Consider the following 25626-nt stretch of genomic DNA (forward strand, 5'->3'; position numbering starts at 1 on the left):
CTCTGATGAGCGTGTGCGCGTGCACACACACACACACACACACACACACCCTGGCTTCAGGGATCTCTTTAGAAATTTTTTTTTTTTTTTTTTTTTTTTTTTTTTTTTTTTTTTTTTTTTTTTTTTTGAGAGAGATAGAGCCTTGCTCTGTTGCCCAGGCTGGAGTGCAGTGGTGCTATCTTGGCTCACTGCAACCTCTGCTTCCCAGGTTAAAGTGATCCTCCCACCTCAGCCACCCAAGTAGCTGGGATTACAGGCGTGCATCACCACAGCTGGCTATTTTTTTTGTAGAGATGGGGTTTCACTATGTTGGCCAGGCTGGTCTCCAACTCCTGACCTCAAGTGCTGCCTTGGCCTCCCAAAGTGCTGGGATTATAGGTGAATGAGCCACTGTGCCTGGCCAATCTCTTTAAAATATGTCTAGAGTCCATGTCTCTCTCTTGATCTCCGGACTCACCTATGCAACTGCCCACTGAGCCTCTACACGGGCCACCTGAAAGCATTTCCAATTCAGCAGGAACTTCCAGCCAGCTGGGAAATCTGCTCACCATTGCCTTGGCGAGGAGCCTACTCTCTACTCCAGCCACAAACCTCTGAGTCACCCTGGCCTCTTCCCTCTTGCTCACCCACTTCACGCCGTGGGATCGGTTACCAACTCTGCCAGTGACCTGAGGGTTCTCGGGCCAGTTCACTCCTTAGGCCCAGTTCCAGTTACTCGTGTGCTGGACAAATGAGGTGGATGAGGCTACTCTTAATCTAAATGTCCTGTGTGGTTGAGCAGAATGACCACCAGAGAGAGAGAGAGAGAGAGTAAGCAAGTAGGTTAACTAGGAAGTCAGCTGTCAAATTGATGTTATCAGGGAGGTTCTCAAAAATGAGGCCAGATTGAAATATACTAAAGGAAGTGAAATACCCGAATGGGTGGGAAGGGATTCCAGGCAGGGATGCTGAGCAAGTGAAGGCAGAGAGACAGAGATGCTCAAGGATGACCCAAGAGACAATGCATGGCCCACTGCGCCTGATACATGCTAGAGATGAGTTGGCCCAAGGTGTGATGAGTTAGGTAAGGGCCACCCTCTGCTAAGCCATCAAGAGTTTGTAAGCAGTGGTGGTGGGGAGAGGGCGGCACCGCAAGCTTTAGAACAAGACTGGAGCATAGTGAATATGTGTTTGGGAAGGTTCCATTGGCAAAGCGGTGTTCAGGGAGAGGAGGCTGTTATGGCTGTCCAGGCAAGGGATGGGCAGAGCAGGTAAATGTCAGGGTCAGGGGTGGGAGAGGTGGGAGATGCACATAGGAGGGGTCGGAGAGGTGTCTTTGGCAGGAGCTGGCCGGGGAGTGATTCCTAGTCAGGGGTTTTGGGCATGTGTAGAAGGACAGAGTGGTGGCAGCTTCTTTATTGTCATCTTCTTTTTTTTGAGATAGAGTCCCACTCTGTCGCCTAGGCTGGAGTGCAGTAGCGCAATCTCAGTTCAATGCAACCTTCACCTTCCAGGTTCGAGTGATTCTCATGTCTCAGCCTCCCAAGTAGCCGGGATTACAAACATGTGCCACCATGCCTAGCTAATTTTTTTGTATTTTTAGTAGCGATAGGGTTTCACCATGTTGGCCAGGCTGGTCTCAAACTCCTGGCTTCAAGTGATCCCGCCTTGGCCACCCAAAGTGCTGGGATTACAGGTGTGAGGCATCACGCCCAGCCATCATCTTCTTGTTATTTTCCCAAGGAGACATGTCCTGTAGGGTGGGTGAGGAGAAGCCATGTTGTCAGGGACTTGGCTGCTCCCTAAAGTTGAAGGTGTGGAGGGAAGGGGGTTCCTTTTCACTGCAGTGATCCCCATGGACTCAGCTACAGCCTGGCTCAGTTTTCTCCCAGGTCTGTCAGCTCACCCCCTTACTCATCAGGGCTCTGGGATTGTCAGTGACAGAAACCCAGCTCCAAGCCAACAGAGAAGGTGAAGGTGCAGAGAATCCAAGGTAGGATTGAGAAACGAAATTCTGAAAACATCTTTGGGGGAGGCAGGCTCAGGGATGGCTGAAAGCAGGGCTGCAGGGCTCCAGTGCCAACAGGGAACAGGGCAGCTGATGGGGCTGCTGACTGGTACTGAGTAACTTTCACCACAGCAATGAGACTGACTTCAGACTCTCTCTATCTCCAAGCCCAGGATCCTGGGAAGCAACTCATTGGTCTGGCTTGAGTCAGGCATTCGCCTGTGGACCTGTTGGCAGGGGCCAGTGCCAGGGTGGTGCTAGCCCTCATGGGAGTCCCTGGAGTGACTATGTGGGAGGGGGAGGGGCAGGGCATAGAGGAGGGGAGGCAGGCAGACAATCCTGGGGTCACCGCAACTCCACAGCAGGGCCAGGGAGCAAACAAAGGGTGAACAGGAGACAGGGACGTGGCCAGTGATTGGCTAACAAATCTAATCCCTCTCTAGGTGAGGTTCTTTTTAGAGTTAACGTGAGTCATTTGTTCATTGATCCGTTGAGCATTGATTCTGTGATTCATCCCACAAGCCTTTACTGAATCCCTATTCTAGGCCAGGCCCTCGATCACAGATAGAAAAGGGAAGAAAATAAGGTTCCCTGCCCTGCAGTAGTTCATGTTCTAGCATGGGAAATTCACGTAATAAAATTCTATAATAATAAGAGACCTATGCTGAATAGAGGTGGGAAATAAGGAAGAAAGAGTGATTCATTCTTCTTGGAAATTTATTAAAGGCTTGATGGGTAGTAGATTTCCTCCAGGCATTGGTGCTGGAGAAGAGCCTTCCAGCAGAAACAGCAATGTGATAAAAGGCACAGACCATGAGCTCACGTTGGACACTGGGTGGGCAGGGGGTCATCTGGTGGTACTAGCGTGGCCAGAGTGTAAGTTAGAAGGTGGCGTGGGGCATGAAGCGAGAGAACAGGTGAGGTTGAGTAGATATCTAGGGGCCACTTCTTGAGGGACCTCATACAGCAACACGGGTTTTGGAAGGGTGTAAAATACAAGATTTGCCTTTGAGAAAGACTATCCTGGCAGCAGTGTAGGCGATGGACTGGAAGGAGGAGGAGACTGGAGATGGGCTGACCATCAGGAGGCCACCGTGAATGTCAGGATAGAGAGGTCCTCCTGCACTGAAGAGATGATGAGGAAGTAGAAGACTGTGGGTAGAACTTCAAGGGGGACAGGTTGAGTTCACGAGCAAGAGTGAGAGGAGGCAAACTTTGCAGGGCAGGAAGGAGTGCTTGATTGAGAGTTCACTGCTGTCTTCTGATGGAACTGTTTGTTCCTTGGAACAGCAGAGTAGTGAGAAAATGCAGTGGCTTGAAATTCTGATAACTGGGACCCTGGAACAGAAGTACCACTTGCTGATTATGTGAATTTGGACAAATCACTTAACCTCTGAGATGTGGTGGGAGTTAAACCATGTAGTAAGCAGATAGCCTGATACCTGGCACACAGAAGGCCCTTGAAGTGTAACATTTACATCAGAATCAGAACCTTTTTGGATTCCATGGCTACTTCCAATGTGTGTGTGTGTTTTTTTTTTAAGTGGAGAGGTACGATTACTAACCAGTAGGAGCAACAATATTATTCTAGGTTGGTGCAAAAGTAATTGCATTTTTGCTGTTACTTTTAATAGTTGCGTATCGAAGACAGCATTTGCTTTTATGGCATCGGAAACATTCTGACTCAGCTTACTGACATTTCCTCTGCCATCATCTTCTTTCATACTGAAATGTGGTTTAAAATATATATATATATCATTTCTTCCCATTCAAAGAAGGGTTTATGCCTCTGCTTTCATGTCCCAACATACTTTGAGAGATAGTCTCACCCCCTCCCTTTTCCTCTTTTATGCCAGGACCCTGGAGAACAGCCAGGTAAGGTGGTGCTTATCTCATTTTCAGTCCTGAAGGAGGAGGAAGATCAAGTGTGTGCAGCGTTAAGTGTCTGGAAGGCGTTTATTTGATTTTCAGCTTGTCTTTGTTCCAACATGGATTGAATGGTAAATACAGGAAAGTAGCTCCCAATAGGCGCCTGAATAGCTGAGGGGCAAAATGTCCCGGTGGCCCACACCCACATGTACCATCATCATGAGTCCTTCAAGCCTGCACAGCTCACTCCTGTCCAGCCCTGGGATACCAGGTGAGTCAGGAGAATGACTTCCTCTGTTCTTACAAAGTCCTGGCCACCAGAGATGGTACTGTTAGCACAGGAGAGACATTGAGAATAGGGTAGAAATCTATGCAGAAAAGTGTTTGTTGTGGCTGAGAGTTCCAATGCCCATTTAAGACCCTGGGAGAAAAAAGTCAGATCACTCATGTATGGGCTGAAGAACTAAGACTTTTGGTTGCAAGTAAGAGAAACCAAGTTGAGCTACATTTAGTCAAATGGAAAGGGGGGAAAAGCATGGGGTTTGGATTTATGATAAGGACATAGGGAGTGTCTCCTAGCTTCAAAGGCAGGAATAAAGCCAGGCCGCAAGAAGGGACTGGAACCAGGAGAAAAATAATCAGCCCAGCTTTGGTCCTTTGTGCCTCTGGTCCAGTCTGTTTCGTCTGGGAGTCAGAAATCTTGCTGAACAAGCGTGACTCTAGGAGGTCCATTTTGTGAAAGGGCAGATCACAGAGAGGGCTCTGGAACAAAGTGGAGACCCTGGCTCAAGGCAGAGATTTGGGAAGCCCTACAATATGGTGGTCTTTGAAGCCCTAAGAAGGGAATTGACCCAATTCAAATGGCATGGATCTCATAGTAAGAGGTAGGACTACTTGAGAGAGAAGATCAAAACAGAGAGATTAGATTCCAAGGGCTCTAGAACAAAGCTCTAAGGGCGAGCATTGTTTTCTCATCTCTCTGCTCCCACAACCCCACTTCCCAGACTTAAGGACAATGGTGTATACATAAGAAGGGCTGAATAAACATATAGGTTGAATGGCATAGAACAGACACTTTTATAGATCAAGACATGGACGATTTTGTATTGTTCAACCTAATATGTGATGCACGAGCATTGAGTTGAATTGAGACCTTGCTTTGAACCTTTGTTATGGGACCTTGGGGCAAGTCATGGTCTTGATGGTTTTTAAGGTTATTCCTTGGACCCAGGTGCTGGAAGCACAACTTCCAAATGTAATACCCAGAAGCAAACTGACAGAGGCAGGAACAAGCTGGAGTCAGAGAGATCTGTGTTCAGATTCCAACCAGGCACTGTCCCCTGGGCCTCTGCAGGCCCTCAGTGAGCCAGCGAGGCCTGCCCTGAGATGACAGTGCTACCTCCTCTCTCTGCCAGGACCACTTTCTCTCATTTTATGGAGAAAATCAAGGAATAACTTTTTCCAACTGAAGCCTCTGGAAGATCTTAGGCAACACGGCCGACTAGAGCTGAACCTAGGCCAGCATCCTGGGCCACAGCTCAGCTCTGCAAATGTAGCCAGAGCCTGAGGCGGGGGCTCTTCTCCCTGCCTGGCAACTTCTCCTGGCTATAAACCAAGCGTGGGCTGCAGCTCCTGGGAGACCAGGCTGAAGGCCCAGGAGATGCTTCAGGCAATTTGCAGTTGCTCCCTTGAATTCCATTTTTAACAGCATCTGTAGGGCAGGGAACGCAAGGCTGACCTGTGAGCCTGGTGTCCTGACTTCTCAGGGCAAGACTCTTTCAAAAGTATTTCTTGAGCATCCACATTTGTTTTCAGCAAATCAGTCTCTGCTCTGCCCTTTTGAAGAACACAGCTAACAATGGAAAACAACTTTTATGTAAGAGAGTTAACTGCAAACCGGGTGCTTTCCTAAGCATTTTGTATATGTTATCTCTTTGAATCCTCTCGAAACCTCAATTAGGCAGAAGATACTTAATAGCCTTATAAGCTAGACAGGAATCTTAGCCTAAAAATGCAAAGGGAAGTCCTGGGGAGGGAAAGGAGAAAACCAGGAAGAGGAAAAATAAATCCACGAGATAATGTTGTAAAATATAATGAAGCCATACCTATTTTAAAAAAACCCACAGAAATTTCCCAGACCTGGAGAGCCACTAAGTGGCACATGCAGGGGTCAAACTATGTCTATGGTGGCTCATGCCTGAATCCCAGCCCTTTGGGAGGCCGAGGCAGGAGGATCACTTCAGTCCAGGAGTTCAAGACCAGCCTGGGCAACAGGACATAGTGAGAATAAACAAATTAAAAAATTAGCTCGGCATGGTGGTGTGTGCCTGTAGTCCTAGCCACTCAGGTGGCTGAGATGGAAGGATCGCTTGAGTACAGGGGTTTGAGGCTGCAGTGAGATGTGATCATGCCACTGCACTGAAGCTCTTTGAGACAGAGTGAGACACCATCTCAAAAAATAAATAAATAAAAATAAAAGTCAAAGCTCCTCCTCACCAACATATAGTAACATTTATGGAACACATGCTTACCTCACTCTTCCTCAAAACTGCTGTTTGAGGAAGGTCCTGTTGTCACCAGCATCTTTCAGATGAAGAAGCTGCAGAACAGGGAGGTACCAGAACTTGCACACAGCAGATGAGTGGTGGAACTGGGAACTGAGCCGAGGACACCTGCCTCCAAAGCATCTTGTTGGGTTGGAGAAGGACAGTGGCAAACACAGCTCGTTCTCACTGCATTTTGGTAGCAAAGTTGTGCCTTCTTTTTTTTTTTCTTTTTCTTTTTTTTCTTTTTTGAGATGGAATCTCACTGTTCCCAGGCTGGAGTGCAGTGGCACGATCTCGGCTTACTGCAACTTCTGCCTCCTGGGTTCAAGCTCCTGCCTCCTGGGTTCAGCTCCTGTCTCGGCCTCCCAAGTAGCTGGGACCATAGGCATATGCCACCACACTTGGCTAATTTTTGCGTTTTTAGTAGAGACGGGGTTTTGCCATGTTGGCCAGGCTAGTCTCGAACTCCTGTCCTCAAGAGATCTGCCTGCCTCAGCCTCTGAAAGTGCTGGGATTACAGGTGTGAGCCACCGCACCCAGCCCGTGCCTTCTTTTTGCTCCCAAATCCCATTTTATTGGAGTTCCCTGAAGCAGTCATAGTAAGGCAGTTGTGTAGTAGAGCATATTAATGCAATTGGATATTTCTTTGCCATTCTAGGAAATTATCTACTGATACACACAGCAACGTAGGTGAATCCCAAAAACATGCTGAGTGAAAGAAACCTTGTACAAAGGTCTACATACTGGATCATTCCATTTACATGAAGTCCTAGCAGAGGCAAAGTGAATCTATGGAATGTTTCTGGTATTTCTCACTTAGAAGAGTGGTTGCCTCTTGTTGGAATTGACTGGGAAGGGGATGAGGGAACTTTCTGGGGTGATGATAATGTTCTGGACATTCCTGGGGATCTGGGTTTCAGAGACATATGCATTTGTCAAAACTCAACAAGTGTGCATTTTAGGTTTGTGTGTTTTATTTACATGTAAAATTTCCCTCAAAAGATGAAAAAAAGAATATGGAACTCTAGTTAATAATATGCAGGCTGAAGTGTTTAAGGGGAAATGTGGACGGTGGTGTCTTCACTTTACTGTGAAATGCATCCAAAGACTGAGATTGATTTCTGGATGGATAGATGGATGTGCAATAACACAGCAAAATGTTACTGGTAGCATCTAGGTTGCACTGTATTAGTGTTCACTGTGAGATTCTTTCAACTTGGCTGTGTGTTTGAAAATTTTCATAGCAAAATGTTGGGTTGGAGGGGAAAGCGATTATGTGGAATCCTGGGGTCCCCTAGTGGTGAGTTAGGGGTCCCGGAGCTCAGGATTGCAAGCTGAGATTATGCAGTCAGGAACTGTCATCCTTACATATCTCTGTCACAGCTCCCTGGCCCTGGGTAAGCACTAAAATATGCATTTTCCTGGGTCTCACTTTAGAGAGAGAATACTGAGGCCCAGGGAAGGTCTGCCAAGGTCTCCCAGGACTAGAACCTAGGACTCCCTGTTTCTGGCCTCTCCTCCCAGCTAGCTTTATCAGAACCCATTTTCTTCCACAGAACAGGGCCTTTTGTTCTATAGCCCAGGGCTGTAAATTTCACCTGCGTGCAGGGATCCAGGTAACTGATCCCATCACAATGAGCCGGTGGCACCCAGGGCAGTAAAACAGGCCTATGCGTTAGAACCCCACCTGCCAGTGGCTTCCTGTAGGTGTATTTGAAGTAGTAGGAAACCAGAGTGGTTTCTACAAATAAATAACCCAGGAAAAGACAAGCCTCTCAGATCAAAGAAGGACTCTGGCCCAAACTTGAACTAAAATCAAGCGTGCTCTTTCGACTCCACTCTGGCTGGGCAGAGGGAGGAGTAGAGAAAGTCTATCTGCTGTGCAAACATTCCCTGTCTCTGCCCTTCCTGGGTTTGTGTGAGCCTGAGAACAGGAGCCCGGGAGGAAGGCTGCACTCTCTGAACTGCTGCCAGGCCCTGCCTCATGACATTCCAGCCTGGCTTCCAGGCACAGCAGGTGCCAACAAATTGGCCTCTTGTGTGTCCGAGCCTAAGGGGCTCATTCATGGGCTGCACGCCTGTCTCAGGGCTCTCATGTAAGCCCTCTAGGGCCCCCAGCTCTTTGAGGAAATTTCATGGCATCCTCTGTGTTTCTTGGCCCTACTGGTTAATATTAATGCTTCCCAGGGGAAAGGAAGGAGAATGGAAAGAGATGCACAGAAGCCAGCAGTTCTGACTCCTTTCACGGTGGGGAAGGATGAGGGCAGAAGGTGTCTTAGAGCAGAGGAAGGACCCTTAGAAGTTGAAGTTTGCAAACTTCACCGTGCACATTAGTCACTGAGGATTGCCAGTCAGTGGCCTGGGGCAAGACCTCTGGTTTCTAACAGGCTCTTGGGTGATGCTGATGTTGCTGGTCCCTTGACCACACTCTGAGTAGCATCACCAACGGCCAAATCCCTCCCGTCATGAAGTTAATGGACAATAAGCAAACCCATTAGTGAATATATGATTATAAACTGTGTGAAGAAAATAACCAGGATGCTACAAAGGGTATTGAGGCAGGGACCTTCAGATGGGAAGAAGATGGTAGGAAAAGCATCTGTAAGAACAGGACTTTAGACTGGGACCTGAGGGTGAGTGGAGTAGGGAAAGCATTCCCGGCAGTAGGAGCAGCATGTGAAAAGTCCCTGGGGCAGAATCAAGCTTGGCATCTTCAAGGAAATGACAGAGAGGCCCATGTTGCATGGGTGGAGACTGGCATGAGATGAGGCTGGAGAAGGGTCAGGCCACACAGGGCTGGATAAAGGGCTCTGACTTCATTCTTGGTGTGATGGGAAGCCCTTGGAGGATTTTAAGCAAAAATGTGCCACGATTCATGCTGGTGGGTCTGTGGAAGATGGATTGGGATAAGGTGGGGAGTAGGCTGGTGGGTGGTTCTTGCATAGTCCTTCATGAAATAGTCGTCAACCTTAGTGGTAGTAAAGATTTTCATTCTTTCCAATGTGGGTCACATTTTCTAGGAAACTGCATGTTTTGGGGACATGATACAATTGAGGAAAATAAGTATTCTTTTCCGATAAAGTAATGTAAGGCCTCATTAATTAAATAAACGCTTTATGAGAGCAAAAAGACTTGGAAAGAATTAACCTTTGGCTGGGCTTGGTGGCTCACGCCTGTAATCCCAGCACTTTGGGAGGCCAAGGCGGATGGATCACCTGAGGTCAGGAGTTCAAGAGCAGCCTGACCAACATGGAGAAACCTGGTCTCTACTAAAAAAAAAAAAAAAAATACAAAATTAGCTGGGTGTGGTGGCACATGCCTGTAATACCAGCTACTCAGGAGGCTGAGGCAGGAGAATCCCTTGAACCTGGGAGGCAGAGGTTTCAGTGAGCCAAGGTTGCGCCATTGCACTCCAGCCTGAGCAACAAGAGCGAAACTCCATCTCAAAAAAAAAAGAAAAAAAGAACTAATCTTCATCTTTCCTTCTCCTTTTGGCTTCTTATTAGTTAGGGTTGTTTCCATAGTGAATGTCAAAAACACAATTCAAACTGGCTTAAATGAAAAAGGAACTTTGTTGGCTCATGCAATTGAAAGTCCAGGGATAGTAGTAGCTTCAGGCATAATTGGGTCTTGGTGCTCAAGTATTAGCTTTCTCCATCTCTAGGCTCCACATTCCCCTGTGCAAGCTTCACTCTTAGAGAGGCTCTCTCAATATAGAGGCAAGGGTGGCCCCAGCAACTCCAGGCTTGCCAACCACAGTGGGATGAGATCCAGCTTTCCCAGTAGTTCCAGCCAATGTCCCTTTTTTTTGACTTGGGTCAACTGAACATCCCTGCACCAATCACAGCAGCCAGGGGAATGGATCTATTCATTGGCCAGGCCGGGTCACATATCTACCTTAGGAGCAAGGCGAGTGGGTCAGCCCCCATTGAGCTACATGGACTGAGAGTAAAGGGAAAGATGGCTGCAAAGGAAGATCTAGGGGCTGAATTCGGGAGCAGGAGATGAAACTCACAAACATCCTCTGTGGGCTCCTCATTCATTTTGAATGTAGCACCTTCTCCCATCAATCATTAAGGCTGGTTCCAGTTCATCACCTTTTGTTCTAAACCTGTGTCTGGATCTTGCCTCTCCTGAAGACATCTAGTTCTGGGAGCAGGAGGCATCTTGCTGGCAATGATGCCCTATCTGTCCCATCTCTCCTGCTGCTCCCAGCAGACTATGCCTTTGCCCAGGTCAGAAGGCCTTTGCCCCACAAGGCCCTTGTTTCCAGTTTCAAGGATGCCTCTAGTTCACAGTCCACATGCCGGAAGGCAATGATGGGCCTACCCTGGGTCTAAACACAGATCTCAATCCATGGCATCTGTGCTAACTCCAGGTAGACAGTATCAGAATCGAATGGATTATAGAGCACCTAGTTATTGTGCACCAAGAACTGGAGAATTGCTTGGTTTGAAAATCCCTTGCACATTTAGTGGTCGGAAGTATTGGGATAGTGGAGGGAAAAAGCAGTTTTTCCTTTAGTTGGTGGAGAGAAGTAAACACGTTTTCCCCTTTCTGCTGTACCTCTAGAAGGGTTTTACCTGCATCAGAATCTTTCAGGGTGTCTGGCAGGGGTGCACATGCAGATTACTGAGTCCTGCCCCAGATCCACAGTCAGAACCCAAAGGGTAGGGTGGATCTGCCTGCTTGTCAAGCTCTGCAGAGTATTCTCCCTGTCTCCCACTCATACACAGGCACACACGCACACACACATACACACACAGGGACACGCATACACATTTTCTAGACCTTTCCAGCTCAGGTTGTTGGCTCCGCCTGCTTTCAAGGCCTCTGGATGAGTCTCTCCAGTGCTTCATTCCCCCTGTTCCTTCATTTAATTTGGAAAGTGGGTGCTTTAGAATTACACTTCTATCATACAAAAGTAGTTTGAACAGACAAAACAGAGCCACACATAGAACCACTCCAATAGCAGCTAACATTTTCCAGGATCTTCTGGTTTTGAGAACTTCTTTCACGTCCAGGTGTGTATGGTGTGGCACACTTAGCTAGAATCCAGCCTTCTTGGACCCTATCACATTACCTGTCTTCTCTCTGGGCACTAGAATATTAAGGACAGTTGTAAGTCGGGCCCACACAGTCTGAGATGATGTACTTGCAGTGCCTGGAGGCATCACTCCAAAAGGATTAGCTGTTAGTGTGAAAGCCATGGATGGGATGAGAATGGAACAATGCTTGCTGCGGACTTTATTTAAGCCAGCACGGCAGCACTGAAAACACCACACCCAGTGGTGGGGATTTTCAATGCCCATCTCACCTACCAGGCAATCAATGCAGCACTGAGCTGAGTGGGCATCTGCTGCAGAGAAAGGCATCGTTTCTACAGCATGCCCTGCCTCAAGCACTATGCATGTCCCTTCTCTCCCTTCCCACCCCCACCTTGCCTGCACCCCAGTTTTGGCCACCTGGGTGTTCACGTCTTATCACCCTCAACTTACCCTACCCCTTAGCTGTGCTGACCCCTCTGCCCTCTGACCTCACCACACAGCTCCAGCCCCTGCCTGCTGCACTCCCTCACACCCTTCTCTTTCTGTGTTCCCTCTGCCTGTGTGTTCCCAGGGCATCTCCTAACCCCATTGTCTCTTCCTTCCGGTGCCTGCTCCAATGCCACCTTATCAGAGAGAGCTTTCCTCTCCTCTGCTTGATTTCTCTCTGTAGCTCTTTGTGTGATCAGACATATATGGGATGCCTTTCCTTGCTTATTGGTTTCTATTCTTCCTCCTGTAACCCCTGTCTCCGACAACTGGACTGTGAGCTCTAACCTGATCCAGAGCAGGGTCTTTTCCTGAGTTGTTTCCTGCCGTGTCTCAATGCCTAGAACCATCGTGCAGTAGGCACTAATAATAAACACGGATTGATTAATTAAATTCCAGCAGAGACCTCCAGGCTGCACTCCTATTCCCCTCCCATTCCTCCTCCCTGTCCCTGGCAGTGGTACCTTTTAAAAGTACACATCGACTCACTCCTCTGGCTCCTCCTGTCCGCCAGTGCCCCCACACCCATGCTTTCAGGATAAAATCCAGACTCCTTAACTTTGCACTGAAGGTGCTTCATGAATGAACCCTGCACTACGCTCATCTTTGCTGATCCTTGGCACCTGCTGTATTCTCCAGGCATCCTCACTCTCCTTAAGCACTGATTTTCTCCTCTTTGAAACAAAGGTCTTCCTGGGACTATGAGCCTCCCTTCCCACATTGGGCCAGGAACCCCCCAGTGGGGAGAATGGGGAAAAAAGGGCCACTAAATAACCTAGATGAGGAGTGATGTGGGTCTTGACCCTGGTAGGAGGTGATGGGAAGAGGGCAGGGGGCATCTGGTAGAAATTTTTCTTGAGCCCCAGAAACAAGTAGGCACACATAGAATAACTTCAGGCCAGAAGAAACGCCAAGCCAACTGCTGATGCTAGTATTTTCAGTTAACAAATACAACTGATGAAGTGTTTATTGCTACAATCACTTACCAAGTCAGTACAGTGCACACAACCAGCTGGGAAGATGTATAGCCCAGTGAGTAGACTTGGGTAGCTCCAAGTTCTGACTCAGAGTCTCAAGAGAGGCTCATCTTACCTTTGAGGTCTTTGAACTCTGTGATCTAGCTGCTCTTGGCATCACCTGACCTTTTAGCTGCCGGCTCTGAGGAGCCAGCCCACACTGCATTTGCCCAGGGAACTGGGAATAAAAAGGCTCATGGTGGGGCAGCCTCCTGCGCTCCCCTTGGCCCTGGCAGACTTTCCCTGCCTGAACGAGAGCCAGCTGGCAGAGCCTTTTGTGGATGATGCCTGGGGAAGCCAGAGTTGGGACTCGGGTCAACTTGTCTTTGACGTCAGGTGGCAGCTCCTCTCCTGAAATACTTACTTGCATCCATGCATCCACTGATTTATAAGGAGGCTGAGGAGCCTGGGTTGGGCTGGTGGAATTTAAACTGTCTTTCCAGATGAGGCTCACTTGTTTAAAGACCATTGGTGGACTGGGAAGGCCAGACAGATGCTCAAATTCAGGAAAGGACAATGAGGCTTCCAAGAGAGGAATCCCTTCATGGAAGAAGCCATCCTGTGCCATGCAGACTCAAAGTCGGGGCTGGAGGGACAGTCGGGAGAGGTTTAAGGTGGAGAGCGACCCAGCTACCAGAGCAGCATTCATTACCAGGTCCTATGTGTGTTGAATGAACCTCTCTGTCAGCCTCCCTAATACCATGGGAGCCAGGTCACCTGGCTGTGGAACATGTAACTGAGCATGGACTCTCCCTCTCCATGCAGATAAGATGGGCCACTTTCACTGTGAGGTAGGAGGCAGCTTCCAGGGCGGGCTGGACTGGGGGGAGAATCCCTCATGTCCCATGCACGAAGATAGCAGCAGGTGGATGAGGAGCAGGGGTGGAGATGGAACTTAGCTAAACCCCCAGTGAGAGGCTGTGGCTGTGAAATCCCAGGATATTTGCAGCATGAGCTGGGACAGGATTCATGTAGGCACCCGTGGGGAGTCCCAGAAATACCTGGAGGAATCATGCAAGAGGCCTGTCCTATGGGAATAAGTGAATCTCAGAGGTGATGGGCGTCTATGGTCTGGGGACTGAGGGCAGGGAAAACTGGGAACTTGGCTTACCTTTTATCGTGGGCAGCACCCTCTCCAGAGAGCCCTGGGATTGGCGGGAGAGGCCAGGACCCTTCCTCGCTGCAGCCTCCAGTCACTCCAAACTGTAGGAGGGGCAGGCTGGCCTTGGATTTGGTGAGCCTGGGAGCACCTGTATCAGTAACAAGACTTCCCCTCTAGCTTTATGATGCTGGGAGACAAAACAAGCTTTAACAGGGAAAGTACTCTTTTTTTCCTCAATTGAGGGTAATGCTTAAATGACAAAAAAAGAGTGATGTATTTTTTAAAAAATCTGCTTATTTTAATGTCTCCAATTTCTACTTCAAAATACACCCACCTGTTTTGATAGAGGGTGTTGGACAAGGAGTTGAAAGTTGCAGAGCCGGCAAATAGCCAGATTCATTTGGCAAACACATTCAGTCAGTCCAATGTTGACTGGGCAGCCTTGGTGTGCCAAGCTACTGAACTAAGGTCTGTTGGGAAGGAAAATGTGTTCACGGAGTCCCTGCCCTCAAGGAGCCCGCAGCCCAGTGTGGAAAATGTTCAGGAACTCTAAAGACAGAATGAGATAAGTTTAAAGAAGGGTTTGATGACTATGATGTGGATGCAGAGGGAGAAGGAATTGATAGGAAATTTAGGGCCAGGGAGAACCCTCTAGGGGAGGTAGAAATTATTTTATTTTGTAATTAAAACAAATTATGCATTTCAAAAGCTTGAGCATGGCAGCTGGGAGGATGGTCTGGAAGAGAAAAAACATTGAAATCAAGGAAGCAGACATCAGAATGGGGCAAGGCCTTTGGGGGCCCGGAGGAAGTTCGTGGGACTAAGAATAGATCTGCTCCCTATGTGCTGCATTTCCATCACCCCTTCTCCTCTTTCACAGCCACTAGCCCAGCAGGTGTTGTGTTTTCATTCATGGAATCCCCCAGAAGGGTGGGAGTTTAATACTGGGATGGGTAAACAAGGCCATATTTTATCTTTTAATCCCTCTCCTCTCCAGTCCTCTCCTTTGCCTTCCTCTCCCCTCCCCTCTCTTCTCCCTTTCCCTTCCCTCTTTTGGGATCTGTGCTTTGCTTGAATGTGAGAGGCAAGCAAAGCCCCCTGGAATAAAACAATGAGCCAGGCTGCCGCGCAGAAATGACCTCTTCTCATACCCTGGCCCTCTGAGGTAGCAGGAACCTCCCTTTATCCGCCCCTGAATTCTCTGCTAGAAGGCTTACTGTTCCAGGACCCCAGGACTCTGGCTTGGTGCATCTGCCACACTTCACATAATCCAGGCAGAACTTTTGCCTAGAGCCCAGTGAGGGACTCTCATTAGGTCATATTTGGGTTTTTTCCCCAGGTCATAAACATATTGCCTGACAGGGGTGAGTTTCCTGCATAAAGCCCTCTGTGGCAAGCTTTCAAGAAAGCACCTCTTGTTTAGATGTAACTCTCATCTGAAGATGCAGTTCTACCAATTTATTCGTGAAAAAGGCTACCCTAAAAGCCCATGTAGTAAGCCAGGCTGACGGTCAGCTGCATCCGTCACTGCCCGGGAGGCAACCCTGGGTAATGGCGACACACTGACCTTTATGGAGTCTTCATCCGGGCCGGCCCGTGTACCACACACATCGCATACATCATCTCATCCCTCTAACAGACCTCTAAGACAGCTATTATTCCCCCATTTTACAACTGAGCGGACAGAGGCTTAGATTGTTGAGTAATTGGCCAACTACACATACCGCCCTTAAGTGGCAGGTCTGAGACTTAAATTTGGATCTAGCTTGTGATAAAGCCTGATACATTTTCAAATATTTAGGAGGTTGACACTTAACTGATGGCTGACAAGTGTCTGTTTGAGATTTAGTTAATACTCTGTAACTAACAGTTCTCAAACGTAAGCGCTTATCAGAATCACCTGGAGGATTTGTTACGACAGCTTTCTGGGCCCCACCCTCAGATTTTTCTGAGTCACTTGGTCAGTAGGTCTGGAGTGGGACTGAGAACCTGTGTTTCTAACAGGTAGTGTGATGCTGCTGTTCAGGGAATACCACCGTGAGAACTGTCACTCTGAACTGAATTGTAGCTCTAGTGTGGACCTTCTACACCACTCTGAGTCCTGAGGCTCAGAGCTGTTCCATAGAAGTCTCTACAATGATAAATGTGTCCTCAACCTGTGATGTCCAATGTAGTAGCCCCTAACCATATACAAGCTGTGGAGGACTTGAAATGTACCTAGTGCAACTGAGGAACTAAATTTTTTATTTTTTTATTTTTATTTTTTTGAGACAGAGTCTCGCTCTGTCACCCAGACTGGAGTGCAGTGGTGCAATCTTGGCTCACTATAACCTTTGCCTCCCGGGTTCAAGCGATTTTCCTGCCTCAGCCTCCTGGGTAGCTGGGTCTACGGGCTCGCGCCACCACGCCCGGCTAATGTTTGTATTTTTAGTAGAGACGGAGTTTCACCATGCTGGCCAGGATGGTCTCTATCTCTTGACCTCGTGACCCACCAGCCTCGGCCTCCCAAAGTGCTGGGATTATAGGCGTGAGCCACCGCGCCCGGCCAAGGAACTAAATTTTTAATTTTATCTAATTATAATTGAATTTAAATTTACATAGCCACATGTGATTCATGGCTACTGTACTGGACAGCATGCAGCCATGTCCAGCCCTTTGAACGTGAGGACTTTTTTGCTTATCTGTGATGGTGGATATCATGAAAATTATGCACAGCCCTTTTTTTTTTTTTTTTTTATAGCTCATCAGCTACTGTTAGTGTATTTTATGTGTGGCCCAAGACAATTCTTCTTCTTCCAGTATGGCCCAGGGAAACCAAAAGTTTGGACACCCTGCCAGATTTATCATTGTGGCTAAATTATTTACTCTTACGTTAAATCTCAAGTGAGTAATTACAGGCTGACTTTTCATTAGGACATATCTGGTTTGCTGGGAGGGTCATGTGCATTATTTAGATTTCAGTGCCTGTTGCACAGGGGTATGGGACTGGGGGATCCTTAAGGGTGGAGATCTTACTTTCCTTTTCCCCCAGCACCAGCGCAGTGGCCGCCCACGGGCTAACGATGTGAGCTGAATGAATAGGAGGATGTGAAATAGTTTCAGAGCTACCTTTCTCCCAGCTGCAATTGGCAAAGGCTTTGGAACCATCCCTCCCCTACAGCTGATTGGTGGGGTGAGGAGGGATTTGGACTTGATGGCACAGCAGGATCAAATGGGATTCACTCTGCCATGCTTGGGGATAGGGCGAGTCCGTGAGGGTGAATTTCTGTTATCACAGGGAACTGTAGCATCTCTCCTCTTTGGCTCTGTAGGTGGTTCCCCATTGGAAATTTCCCGTATCAATGTTTTTTAGGAAAAAGATAATTTAAGACTCTTGGCTGGGCACGTTGGCTCAAGCCTGTAATCCCAGCACTTTGGGAGGTCGAGGCAGGTGGATCACTTGAAGTCAGGAGTTCAAGACCAGCCTGACCAACATGGTGAAACCCCATCTCTACTGAAAATACAAAAAAATTAGCCAGGCGTGGTGGTGGGCGCCTGTAATCCCAGCTACTGGGGAGGCTGAGGCAGAGAATTGCTTGAACTCGGGAGGCAGAGGTTGCAGTGAGCTGAGATGGCGCCACTGCCCTCCAGCCTAGGTGACAGAGTGAGACTCTGTCTTAAAAATAAATAAATAAATAAATAAATAAATAAATAAATAAATAAAATAAGCCAGGTGTGGTGGCACATGCCTGTAATCCCAGCTACTTGGGAGGCTGAGGCAGGAGAATGGCATGAACCCGGGAGGCAGAGATTGCAGTGAGCTGAGATCACACCACTGCACTCCAGCCTGGGCAACAAGAACAAAACTCTGTCTTAAAAAAAAAAAAAAGACTCTATGGATACATAAAAGGTACCCAAGGCATGTGTTTACTATCCAAATAATGATTTGAAGCGTTGCCTCAATAGAAACAGAAGAAGGAATACATGGGCCTAGTCCTCCCCTCTCTCGCCTTTCCTCCCAAGCAAGCAGAGTGACAGAGAAGATGACATGTGTCCCATAACTTGAGCTCAGACAGCAATTCCCCTATCAGATACTGGTTCAGGTTTCCATTTAGTTGCTCCTAATCAACATAAGCAATTGTCTTCTACTCTGTGGGCCTCGGTTTGCAAATCTGTAAAATGGGGAGGGTGGGGGTGAACTAGATCCTTGCTGCTTAAAGCATAGTCCACCAACAAGCAGCAACAGCCTCCCCTGGGAGCTTGTTAGAAACACAGAATCAGACCCTGCCCCAGACCTGCCCTATCAGAATCTGCATTTGAACAAGTCCCCTCCCCTACACTGATAGGCATAAGAAAGTGCACGCTGGAATAGGTGTCTTATTTCAGCTCCTACTGTCTGTGAGCCTGAAGCTAAACTGCAAGTTGTTTTATTTTTAGGAATTAGAAGCACAGTTTCTGGAAGAGAGACCAGGCTTTGGAGGGCCTCTGGGGTTTTTGGTCTTTGCAGCAATGGGAGAGGTCTGGGCAGGTGTGTTTTCAAAAGGTAAAAGTAACTCATGCCAGAGAAACATGTTTCTTGCAGCATCCTGGGATGCCCTGATCTGCAGAGGCAAAGGGTTTTCTAAGTGCTTCTCTCCAAGGATGCAGGCTGGGGTGCCCTGTCCCTGGGGTCCCCGCACAGCAGCCCCAAACATCCTGTCTAAGGAGACTGTGCTGATGGCAAGCCCTCTGAGAAAGGGCTGGCAGGAGGGAGCTCAGGGCTGCTGGAAGTTCCCCAGGCTTGGGACTCTTCCTGTGTTTATCTGTGATCCAGAGGGGTGCTTGGATTGTTCTGTCTCCCATTTCCTTCTTCTCTCTAGGGATACTGTGTCAGGACCAGGTGACCAGAGAGATGCATTTTTCTGTCAGGAGAGAGCTGGGCCTGGGGAGGAACAAGTGGCAGATGGAGGCGGTGGGGCAGGGGGGCGGCGTGTTTGGCTGCCCCTTACCTGACCCAGGAGAGGAGGACAGGGCTCTTACTGGGCAATGTCAGAGAAGGGTTTCTGCATCACAATTTGTCAGGGAAGATTTCTGTCCCATGGGAACAAGACCTCTGAGCTCTGCTTTCCTGTTTCTGTGGTTTCTGGTGTCCACAAAGATAGACTTTTGGGTCCTTAGCCAGAAAAGGATCTTAGTGGACCCTGTGCAGGCAATCCAGTCCTCCAGGAGCCACGGCATGGATTTAAGAGTCCATGAACAAGAAACCTAGGTCACAAAGGAAGGGGGAAACATAGAAGCTTCTCTGACCACCACAAGAAAGCTGGAGGGAGATTCTTGCCCACCTTCCCCAAGCTCACCCAGGCTTGATTTCAAGATCATTATTTTGTCTACCAGGGGCAGAGAAATGGCTCAAATCAAGCATTTACTCTTCCCAGTAAGCCTTGGTGAGAGATAGGCAGGGAGTGGTGTTATTGTTCCCATTTTACAGAATGTGGGTTCTGGAGCCAGACCACCTGGGTTCAAATCCTGACTAAGCCACCTACTAGTTCTGTAACCCTTGGCAGCACCTCAGCCCCCACCCCAGACCTACCGAATCAGAATCTGCATTTCTTGGCAAGTTTCCTGGGGAAACAGGTGCACGCTGAAGTTTGAGAAGTGCTGGCTGTATAATCTCTCATATTCCTATCAGCGCCTACATTCTGAGATCCTGAGATTATACTGCAAATAATTTAATCCTTAGAAGCACAACTTCTGGAAAAGAAAGGCAGGTTTGAACTTTGTCACCTACTTCCTGTGTGTCCTTGGGCAAGTTAGATACTTTGTGCCTCAGTTTCCCCATCCATAAACTAGAGATAATAATGATACCTAGCTCAGAGTATTGCTTTGAGATAGTAAATTCGTCAATATATGAAAAGTGCATAAAGCAGTGCCTCGCACCTAACAGGACCCTGGTAGTGTTTGCTTCAATTATTACTATTATCATTACAGGTGAGAAACCTGTGAGCCTCAGAAAAGCTAGGTGATTTACTCGAGGATGCTGTGTTAGTTTGCTAGGGCTGCCATAACAAAGTAGCACGGACTGGGTGAATTCAACAACAGAAATGTATTTACTCATAGTTCTGGAGGCTAGAAGTCTGAGATCGAGGTGTCAGGAGGGTTGGCTTCTTCTGAAGCCTCTCTCCTTGGCTTGAAGCCTCTCTCCTTGGCTTGAAGGTGGCTGTCTTCTCCCTGTCTCTTCACATGGTCTCTCCTTTGTGTCTGCATCTTAGTCTCCTCTTCTTATGAGGACACCAGTCATATTGGATTAGGGCCCACCCGTATGACCTCATTTTACCTTAGTTACCTCTTTAAAGGTCCTGTCTCCAAATACAGTCACATTCTGAGGTGCTGGGGGATAGGATTTCCACATATGAATTTGGGGAGTGCACAATTCAGCCTGTAACAGATATGTAACCATTAAGTGACATATAAGCATAAACAAAACTGTGCCCAAGAGAATTCACAAGGGTGTGGTTGATTCCAAAGCCTGCCACCTCTCAACAGGAGAAAAACTGACTTATATTCTCATATGTCATTTTAAGGGAAGTGTCCAGAGTCATTAGGCTCAAATAAAATATTTCCCTTGAACTTTGCTAAGTGAAGCAAAGAGTGACTGTCTAGATTGTGCTATCCTGTCAATGGTACCATCTCTTTATCTTCCTTTGCCTAAGAAGATAGCAGCTTGCCATTTGGGAGTATAGTTCCTTGTGTACTTGCCTCTCTTTCCTCTTGCCAGTAAGATACTCGAGAGGCAGGATTCACATCCGATTCCTCTCTGTACCTCCCAAAGCTCCTACTCCAGAGACCAGTGATATATATGAGTTGACATTTTTCAAGTTAGTATATCTCAGTTGACCCTCACAACAATAGCTCATGGTTATCAGTAGTATTATTATTCCCATGTTCACAATGAGAAGGCACAGAGAGATTGAATGGGCTGCCAGAGGTCACACAGCTGATGAGAGCCAGAGTTGGAATTCAAACCCAGATTTTCAGGTCCCATCTCCCATCTCTTCTTTCATGCCATGGACTGTCCTTGATATCAAGAGCCCTCATGGCTTGAGCACTGACCACGGGTCACAGTGTCTCTTTTGATTCTCACAGTGACCCTGGAATTTACAGTGCATCATCCCAGCGTTACAGACTTTTAAATGGGGTACAAGTGGCCAGGTGGCACCCTCCATGTGAGCTGCATGGCTGGGATTGAAGACTCTGGAGCCCATGCTCCTGGCTACCCCACCGTCCTGCTAGTCACTGAGCTGAACCTTGCCTAGGTTTGCCTAAAGCAAGAATCACCTCATGCAGGGTGGGTAGGGACGGGGATGGCTGTCCCTCTGCTGTCTTATCCCAGGAACTTCCAGGTCACCCTGCAGATCTCATCTCGCCTCCTGCCTTACAGCTTAAACTGACCCTTTCTCTTACCTCCTGCTACCTCTTCTTCCAATAATCCCTAGAACAGATCCTAGCTTCTGTAGCCTCTCTGGGCAGCAGGAATCCTCATCCCCATGAGGTTGAGGATGCCGTGGGAGTGCCGTTGCTCTGCAGCCTCTCAGGAGGCTCCTGTAACACTTGGCTCCTCTTCCCCTGTCTCCCCTTGCTCTGCAGGTGACAAGCCCTGGACTCCGGTGCGGCTGGGCCTGGGGCTACCTGAAGGGAGAGCAGAGACTCAGGTGCCCGGTGAGCAATGGCAGTGAGGAGAAGCAGAGAGCAACGCCAGCAAGCAACGCCTCCTGCCCCTGCTTTTGCTCTTGTGTCTCTTGACCCTGTGAGGTCCAGCAACCATGGGGACTGAGCAGCAGTTGGACTTGGGGGCAGCCGAGCTTCTGGAAAATTTTAGCTTGTTATTGTGAAGACTTGTGGAATATCCCAAAGTGCTGGCTTTCGGAAAAGGGTGCCTACATTTTCTTCTGCACAGGCTCTGCTGAAGGAGTTTGCTGCACTCTTGAAAGGACAGGCAAGCTCAGGTCCTCATGGCTCGATCTCTGAGCAGGCCTCTAACCCAGTGAGGACAGCGGTCAACCAGTCTCCAGCTAACAGCTTCCTGCAGAGACTTCCAGCATTGTTAGCTAACATGCACTCTTCTGAGGCCTTCAACAGCTGGAAACTGTTTCAGGACTATCTTGCCAGCTAAGAAGCGGAATCCCAGTTCTTGTTGCCAGGAAGCTTTTAATGGCCAATGGAGAATGCTGTCCTCCCTTGGTGAAAGAATTCCCAAGGAAATTTGGGAATCTTTTAGGATTCACTTCAATGGAATGTTTCTTGGGACATGTGTCTTCAGGCACTGGAAGCCACTCACGGACAAGAAGGCACGGATGACCCCTTGCTCAGCAATGTGGGATTAGCCTCTTTGGGCAGGGCAATCTCTCTGCCCCCAGTGGCTTAGACAGCTGGCTCTGAGACATAGCAGAAGGTCTCACAAATGTTAGGAAAAGGGGGTTGAGCATTATTCCTCCATGTGGAATTATTTTTGTATTTATCCAGAAAGTGACTCTTTTTTGGTCTTTGAAATCATCTGTGATATAATTAGAAGATGTCAGAGCTTCAATGTCCATGTCACTAACCTCCCCACTCGGTACCTGGGAAGTCTGAGGTCCACAGAAGGAAATGTCTTAATGAGGGTCACCCAACAAGTTAGGGCAGGAGGGATGCCCCCGCCCAGCCTGCCTCCCATACCCTGCCACCTCCAACCTTGCTGTCTGTCATCTTCCTTTACCAAGGAAGGGCTCCTCTGAAGCCATGATGATTTGGGGCCCTTTGGCAGCAGACAGCAAACTATTCATACCTTTGGTTTTTCTAAACTGGTGGAGACCTGAGACCAGGGTTCTGGCTTTTCCATGAGGACCATAATATGCTCCTATTCCTGCTGTTCCCTTCTTTTCTATTGCAAGGAGCATGAAATGGAGCACTCCTCTTCTGGGGGCCATGGGAAAGGAGCCATTCCCAGATGCCGTGATGCGTGACTTCAGCAATCTGGCTGAAGTGACTAGAATGGGCCCTGTTGTTCTCGGCAGAGCAGGCTTGGGTCAGGCAGGGCGGCTGTTAAGAGGACACGGCCGGCATTGATTCTGGGAGTATCGTTTCCTCCCTCCCCCGGCCTCCCAAGCACACCTGTGTGGGAGGTACCAGGCAGAGGGCCCAGTGTGCTCCTTTCAGTCCCCTTGCCTGTCCCACCTCACTGAACTCGCACAAAGAGCTTCACTTTGAACCGAAAGGTCAGGGGTGACCAGACTTTTCGCTAAGCTGGTTCAAAGGGAGGAGCCTGGGCCGGGTGAGATAGATTTTGGCCCTTTTCTCAGTGTGGGAGAGTATCTGTTTGTTCCTGGGCACAACTACAGTCATATTCAGAGGAGAAATTGCGGAGATGGCATAGAAGCCGAAGCTGGCCACCGCCAAAGCCCGTCTAAGTTCTCTATGTGTGCTACAGAGGGCTTGCACAAAGACATCTCTCCAAGCGACATTATAGCCTGAAAAGGAAATCTCACATCTTTTCCTTTATTAAGTTCCTGTCTGTAGGTTTACCTAGACAGATTCCCATAGTAAACTTCTATATGAGTAAAAGGAAACAAAAATAACGGTGGCTTAAATAAAATCGAAGTTTAATAAACTAGAAGTTTAATTCAGGCGGGCATGGTGGCTCACGCCTGTAATCCCAACACTTTGGGATCACTTGAGGTCAGGAGTTTGAGACCAACCTGGCCAACATGGTGAAATGCTGTCCCTACTAAAAATACAAAAATTAGCCAGGTGTGGTGGTGCATGCCTGCAATCCCAACTACTGGGGAGGCTGAGGCAGGAGAATTGCTGGAACCCAGGAGGTAGAGGTTGCAGTGAGCCGAGCTCCCGCCACTACACTCTAGCCTGGTGACAGAGCAAGACTCTGTCTTAATAAAATAAAATAAAATAATAAAATAAAATAGCTTAATTCTGTCTCAATAAAATGAGTCCATCATCTAGGGCTATTTTGGTTCTACACAGGGTCAGGGCCTAAGTTTTCTCTCTGCTTGCATTGGCATCCTCAGTGCATGCATGGCTCCTACTATATGGCCCAAGATAGCTGCTGAAAATCCAGCCATCACATCTTCTTTCCAGCTAGCAGGAAGGAGAAGGGAGAGAAGAAAGTCTCTCTGTCCTTCCTTTAAGGGAATTTCCTGGAATTCAAACACTACACTTCTGCTATATTGGCCAGAGCTGAATTTCAAGGCCACAACTAATGCAAGGGAGACTGAGGAATGTAATCTTTATTCTAGGTAGCCATGTGCCCAGATAAAAACCAGGGATTCTGTTACCGAGGAAGGAGAAGAAAATGAATACTGGGGACAATTAGCTATCTTTGCTACATCTTCCTCCTAGATAGATAAGAGGGCTTATAACATGTGGGCATCTATATTTATGTTTCCAATATTATTATCCGGGACTGGATTAGAAGCATAGACTGATAATGTAAAGGTTAGAAATCAGCCAGTCCACACCCTCATTTTAAAGGTTAGAAAACTGAGATCCAGAGAGATTAAACAGATCATCTGAGATCACACAGCGAGTTGGTGGAATCTAATTCCCAGCTCATGTTCAGTGGGAGTATTTTTGTTCTGCTCTGTTTCTTAACTTAAGAGAAAAGCTTCATTCTGGAGGGGAAGGAGTTTTGAGTGCCAAGGATGAAATTCCACCCATCACTCGGTCTCTGAGCTGCAGGACACAGGCAGGACAACGGTAGGATTTTCATGCCCCGATCTGCCTGGCCTTGAGTTGTGGCAGCTGGGGAAGCCACTGGTGAGGACGCTGCACTGGAGTGTGGGCTGGCTGAGTGTGCCCATTCTGTCACTGCCTGTCCCGTGTCTGTGTGTGTGCATGTGGCTCTGTTTATCTCCATGTCGGCCCTGTATACTGATTCCAGCCTGCCAAGGCTGCATGTCTGACTCTGTGTGCTTCTCTTTCAGGGAGCACACTGCCAGGATGGGAGCTGCTGGGAGGCAGGACTTCCTCTTCAAGGCCATGCTGACCATCAGCTGGCTCACTCTGACCTGCTTCCCTGGGGCCACATCCACAGGTGAGCACTGCAAACAGATGGACCTCTGTATCTCAGCATGGAAGGCACGGCCCCTCACTGGAGCAAGGCTGCTTTTGGGGGAGCCAGGAGAAGGAGCCGTGGGAGTGGGTCAGGGTGCCTGGGCCTTGGCCCGACCTTACTAAACTCCTTGGTCCCCGGCACGTTTCGTCCTGGGCTTCAGTTTCATCATCCACAAAATGAAGGGGTTGGACTAGAATCAGGGATTGCAAACTCAGCGCCTACAGAAGCCAGGCCCCTGACACAAATGAGTGAAGCTGACCAGGTAGCGACTGTGGTCAACTGGAGAACTGAGACCCTTCTAAAGGGAAACACTGTTCTCACTTCTAGCCAATCGCTACTGCGGGAAGGTGGATCCCCTTTTGCAGGATCTGAATTTTTAAGAGAAGCCAGAAATCTAGAGCTTTATGTAAAATCTCCCTAGTTTGTAAATGTTACCAATGAATTCAAAATGTAAAAACCACTCTAATAGGCTGTTAAAAAAAAAAACAAAAACAAAAAAACACGTATCTG

At 48.1% G+C, this 25626-nt stretch overlaps 1 protein-coding gene across 10 annotated transcripts in view, besides 1 other annotated feature; it reads left to right on the plus strand.

Annotated features, from left to right (window-relative positions):
• Nucleotides 1-25626, plus strand: part of CEMIP (cell migration inducing hyaluronidase 1) — a 172402-nt gene that overhangs the window by 69509 nt on the left and 77267 nt on the right. For 4 of the 10 annotated variants that reach the window (XM_047432894.1, XM_047432897.1, XM_047432893.1 and 1 more), the window contains one exon: nucleotides 21657-25095. In XM_047432894.1, the coding sequence (XP_047288850.1) occupies nucleotides 24897-25095 (199 nt within the window). In that variant the 5' untranslated portion in view covers nucleotides 21657-24896. Of the gene's footprint in view, nucleotides 1-1895; nucleotides 4128-21656; nucleotides 25096-25626 lie in introns of those variants that run through there. The other 6 variants (XM_047432900.1, NM_001293298.2, NM_001293304.2 and 3 more) reach the window with 6 other exon arrangements.
• Nucleotides 1479-1979: an enhancer, noted in NCBI's record as "H3K27ac hESC enhancer chr15:81142698-81143198 (GRCh37/hg19 assembly coordinates)". NCBI's record gives its function as "activates a minimal SCP1, AML or CMV promoter by ChIP-STARR-seq in primed H9 embryonic stem cells {active_cell/tissue: H9 hESC(primed)}" and the evidence as "EXISTENCE:reporter gene assay evidence [ECO:0000049][PMID:30033119]".

Source organism: Homo sapiens, chromosome 15 (assembly GCF_000001405.40).
Source record: "Homo sapiens chromosome 15, GRCh38.p14 Primary Assembly".
NCBI classification, from domain to species: Eukaryota; Metazoa; Chordata; class Mammalia; order Primates; family Hominidae; genus Homo; species Homo sapiens.